The following is a 5,195-nucleotide window of genomic DNA, read 5'->3' as shown; positions in this document are numbered from 1 at the left end:
AGCAAATTTTCTCTGGAATTAGCTGTAGAAAGAGGTTGAGTGAATCAATTTTAAGGATGGAGAAATTGAGGTCCAGAGTGAGAAAGGCAGGTCAGCAGCAGAAGCAAGAGTCAAGAATACATCTTCTAGTAGGCCTGGGAAATGTCCTCTGCACTCAGCCTCCTTTCTGATATTACGTAAAAACCAGGTTCTTTTCCAATATAAAATTCTCATCTTGAGAGAATAATAACATCTTAACATAATAGTATATTCTACTTTGCCTTTTTATTTCCTCAAATTTATACTCATTAATTATCAGAGCTGGAGGGAACCACAAAGATGACCTGCCAAGTTTTATTTTGCAAATAAAGAACCAAGGCCCAGAGAAGATGTCCCACAGTTGGTTGTGGCAGAATCAGGCTAGAGCCCAGGTCTCTTGACTCCCAGTACAGACACTTTCTCCTTCCTTGCATTGCTTAACATTGAATGTCTATGTCTATTCACAGATTATGTTGCTTTTTATTAAAATAAGTTTCTACTCCTTATATTGGCAGGTAGTCACTCCAAAATGTACGTTCCACAAGGGAGGTGGGAAATCATATCCTGTCCAGAAAAAGCTGCACATGAAAGAGGTGAGGCCTGGATGCCTTCTAGAGGTGCATGTATCCCGGCTGCAGACTGCTCGGCCAGGAATCTCTGGCATCTCTGAGTCAGGGAATCATGAAGCTTTCTCAAGTGAAGTAACATTCTCCCTGTGACCATGCCACTTCCTGCCTGTGTGCCCTCTTGTAAGGCACTGAAGGTCTCAGGACCTCAGTTTCCTCCTCTGTGAGGTGGGAATAGCATGCCCTGAAGTGTTGGATGAGAAAGTGTTTTGTGAGCAACAGAGGACTGGGTAAGGATTCCTAGTGAGTTTGGTTGGTCTGGGCAATAGCGTCCCCAATACAACCACAAAACACTTTACCCTTCCAGCTTTGAGACTTGGGAGAGATGCCCTGGGGGTTGATTACAGAAGGCTCAGGTTGGGAAAGTTTGAAGTGCTTCATGCTAAACCAACCTTTAAGCTATAACTGGCCATGGAGGGCTTAAGGGAGAATTTATGTCCCTTTTTGTCCTGGCTTCTCTGATAAGTGGTTCTCAGACTCATAACTCTCCAGGAGTTATAAAACAACAAAAGCAAAACCCTTAAGTCATCTCATTTACAGCTTCAGCTCTTCAGCAGGGTATGAGGGAAGCAACTGTTTACTATTCATAAGTAGATACTTAAACAGATAGACATCATGAGGTTTTTTGTTTGTTTGTTTTTGGTGAGAAGCAGTTGAGGAGGGAAGAAGAAAGAAAAGAGGAGAGAAAAGAGAGGGAGAGATGTCTTGAGGCAGAGACTGGGATAGGCACTGGCTAAGCAGGGTGAGAAGGCAGGGAAAGAGCCGGGCTGACCCAAACCAAAGTCAGAAAATGATTGAGAAGAGCAAGAAAAACAAAGGAATGAGGATACAGAGTCAAGAGAGGAGACAAAAGAAGGATTGAGTGAGGAAAATTCTGAAACATAAATTTGCAGAAAGGTTAAGGAAAAGGAGGAATAAGAAGGAGGAGAAAGTGTAGAGGGAGAGCACAAGGATGTGGAAGGAGGGGAGCAAGCGTCTGGGGAAGGAGACAGAAGAGATCCTAGAGCACAGGGGAAGATGGGGAGCTGCTATTTGTTCTTCGGCTGGCTCCTGCTTTGGAAAAATCCTCGTTTCCTACTCAGTGGGTATGCCAAAGACCACATCCTGGGTACAGGAGATATGAGATCATTTGGAGGTACCTAGAGACAGTCACAGTGATAGAACTAAACTCTGAGTCCTTAGAGGCCAGAGAGAGTTGCAAGATTTAGAGAATATAACATGTATTTCCTAGGACTGGGTTCCACAGCTCCAGATTCATTGATCTCTTAGACTACTCCAACACATGTGAATGACTTTTTAATGCCCCACTTTGTGCTTAGTCTTGGCTGGCCTTGTCAAGACCTGGAAACTTTAACACTTCTTGCTGTGCATTTCCGCTTTGCCTTGGATTACAAGCACAAAAAGAAATAGTGACAATTATTCAAGCCATTCAGGATACTTCCCAAACCCTTCTGCCTCTCAACACTGTGGTTCGGGTCTAAGTACTGAGAATATTTTAATACCTAATATGAGCTTCGCATGGTTTCCAGAGATGCAGCATATCTTTTTAGCTAATATTGGCTTTTTTGAAGCTCATAAGATAACAGCTCTTAAAGATCCTGTAGGGATCATCTCGTCCATGCTAGGAAATTAGCTGGTCCTTCCTCAGTAAGGAACTATTTAGATAAAAGCAGTCAGAACTCTGGCCTGAACAGTAAACATTTAACCAGAGTTCAATCAGAATTCAAGGACAGGTTTTCTTAAACTTTCTTTGTTTCTAGGAGATCAGGCAGAGCTGAATTTAACCAAGAATCTTTTGATCCTTTCCACATATAGATATACAATAGTGGTCACATATGTTCTGGGAGTTCCTAGACCTTATATGTCTAAACTGGGGCTTCCTGACATAAAACTATGCTTACCGGCCAGGAATCTGTTAGAAAACTCAGAGCTCAGTAGAAGGAACACTGGCTTTGGAATGTGGAGGTCTGGTTTTGCTCAAAGTGTGCAGTATGTGAAGGAGAACAATTTACTGACCATTACTCTGCCTTACTGATTCAAATTCTGAGGTTTATTGAATAATTTCTTAGATTGCCTTCCAGCTCTAAATTTCTCAGCACCAAAATGAAGTCCATTTCAATCTCTCTCTCTCTCTTTCCCTCCCGTACATATACACACACTCATACATATATATGGTCACAATAGAAAGGCAGGTAGATCAGAAGTCTCAGTTGCTGAGAAAGAGGGAGGGAGGGTGAGCCAGAGGTACCTTCTCCCCCATTGTAGAGAAAAGTGAAGTTCTTTTAGAGCCCCGTTACATCTTCAAGGCTTTTTATGAGATAATGGAGGAAATAAAGAGGGCTCAGTCCTTCTACTGTCCATATTTCATTCTCAAATCTGTTATTAGAGGAATGATTCTGATCTCCACCTACCATACACATGCCCTGTTGCTTGTTGGGCCTTCCTAAAATGTTAGAGTATGATGACAGATGGAGTTGTCTGGGTACATTTGTGTGCATTTAAGGGTGATAGTGTATTTGCTCTTTAAGAGCTGAGTGTTTGAGCCTCTGTTTGTGTGTAATTGAGTGTGCATGTGTGGGAGTGAAATTGTGGAATGTGTATGCTCATAGCACTGAGTGAAAATAAAAGATTGTATAAATCGTGGGGCATGTGGAATTGTGTGTGCCTGTGCGTGTGCAGTATTTTTTTTTTTTTAAGTAAGCCACTTTAGATCTTGTCACCTCCCCTGTCTTCTGTGATTGATTTTGCGAGGCTAATGGTGCGTAAAAGGGCTGGTGAGATCTGGGGGCGCCTCCTAGCCTGACGTCAGAGAGAGAGTTTAAAACAGAGGGAGACGGTTGAGAGCACACAAGCCGCTTTAGGAGCGAGGTTCGGAGCCATCGCTGCTGCCTGCTGATCCGCGCCTAGAGTTTGACCAGCCACTCTCCAGCTCGGCTTTCGCGGCGCCGAGATGCTGTCCTGCCGCCTCCAGTGCGCGCTGGCTGCGCTGTCCATCGTCCTGGCCCTGGGCTGTGTCACCGGCGCTCCCTCGGACCCCAGACTCCGTCAGTTTCTGCAGAAGTCCCTGGCTGCTGCCGCGGGGAAGCAGGTAAGGAGACTCCCTCGACGTCTCCCGGATTCTCCAGCCCTCCCTAAGCCTTGCTCCTGCCCCATTGGTTTGGACGTAAGGGATGCTCAGTCCTTCTAAAGAGTTTTGGTGCTTTTCTGGGTCCCTCAGCTCCCGAAGCTCTTGAGAAAACTATCAAAGGCTAGAATCCCCTTCTAACTCTTTTTTTCCCCCATGATAAGCGCAGTCGGTCACAGTTCAGGTGAGTTCTTACTTGGCATTCAAGAAAATTACAAAATCTGGGTAGTTGTCTGGGCACGAAGCGACAATGGCGTCTATCCCTGGTGCTGACCCTGGGAAGCGCTGACCCAGGTGCTGAAACGCAGACCTCTGAAGCTGCTACCTCTTAGCGTACCTCACTTCCAAACGTCGGGACTAGGGCAAAGGGGCAATCTAAAGACCGAACGCCGTATGTTTGAGATTGTGAGAAGTCTCGTTCCCCTACAGTTTACTTGGTAAAAATGGTAAAACAATTCTACTTTGTAGCTCGTGATGTGAAAATTGAATTAAACTGTTGGCACACACTTTATCTTACCAGAACGGTCTTTATGTGTGTGTGTGTGTGTGTGTGTGTGTTTGTGCGTGTGTGTGTGTGTGTGTGTGTGTTAAGTCTACAGGGACAGAAAGGTTGCAGAAACATTTGAGCTCTTAAAGCCTTTTTGTGTAACTTGGTAATTATAGCAACTATCCTTATTTTTATATCCTTGATTGATTTTAAATGTGACAAAAAATGCGCAGCTGTAAAAACTGGATTTTGTGTGTGACCAAATCTGTTCTTTAATTTAGGCTTTTCAAATTTTTTCCATTGTCCTCCCCACTTCTCTTTCTCTCTTTTTCTATCCCTTCTGCCCTATACAGGAACTGGCCAAGTACTTCTTGGCAGAGCTGCTGTCTGAACCCAACCAGACGGAGAATGATGCCCTGGAACCTGAAGATCTGTCCCAGGCTGCTGAGCAGGATGAAATGAGGCTTGAGCTGCAGAGATCTGCTAACTCAAACCCGGCTATGGCACCCCGAGAACGCAAAGCTGGCTGCAAGAATTTCTTCTGGAAGACTTTCACATCCTGTTAGCTTTCTTAACTAGTATTGTCCATATCAGACCTCTGATCCCTCGCCCCCACACCCCATCTCTCTTCCCTAATCCTCCAAGTCTTCAGCGAGACCCTTGCATTAGAAACTGAAAACTGTAAATACAAAATAAAATTATGGTGAAATTATGAAAAATGTGAATTTGGTTTCTATTGAGTAAATCTTTTTGTTCAATAATACATAATAAGCTTGAGTGGCGGTTTCAGTAAAGTTATTTGAGATAGGTACTCCAATGTTCACAAACATCTATTTAAAATTCTCGGTGGCAATAAAGTTTACATTTTAAATGATAACTATTATAACATGAGTCATTTTAAACAGAAATAATTTCACATAACTCTATGCATTCAAACTTT

At 43.6% G+C, this 5,195-nt stretch overlaps 1 protein-coding gene across 1 annotated transcript; it reads left to right on the top strand.

The window, feature by feature from the left end:
• Positions 1–3,491: 3,491 nt before the first annotated feature.
• SST (somatostatin) lies at positions 3,492–4,974 on the top strand. Its single transcript, NM_001048.4, has 2 exons — positions 3,492–3,732; positions 4,609–4,974. Exons 1-2 carry the CDS (start codon positions 3,595–3,597, stop codon positions 4,819–4,821), a joined length of 351 nt encoding a protein of 116 aa, NP_001039.1. The 5' UTR covers positions 3,492–3,594; the 3' UTR covers positions 4,822–4,974.
• Positions 4,975–5,195: the final 221 nt, after the last annotated feature.

The sequence above is a fragment of the Homo sapiens genome, chromosome 3, assembly GCF_000001405.40.
Source record: "Homo sapiens chromosome 3, GRCh38.p14 Primary Assembly".
Taxonomy (NCBI): domain Eukaryota; kingdom Metazoa; phylum Chordata; class Mammalia; order Primates; family Hominidae; genus Homo; species Homo sapiens.
The sequence above is the reverse complement of the archived record's forward strand: the minus strand, read 5'-3'. Positions and strand labels throughout refer to the sequence as shown.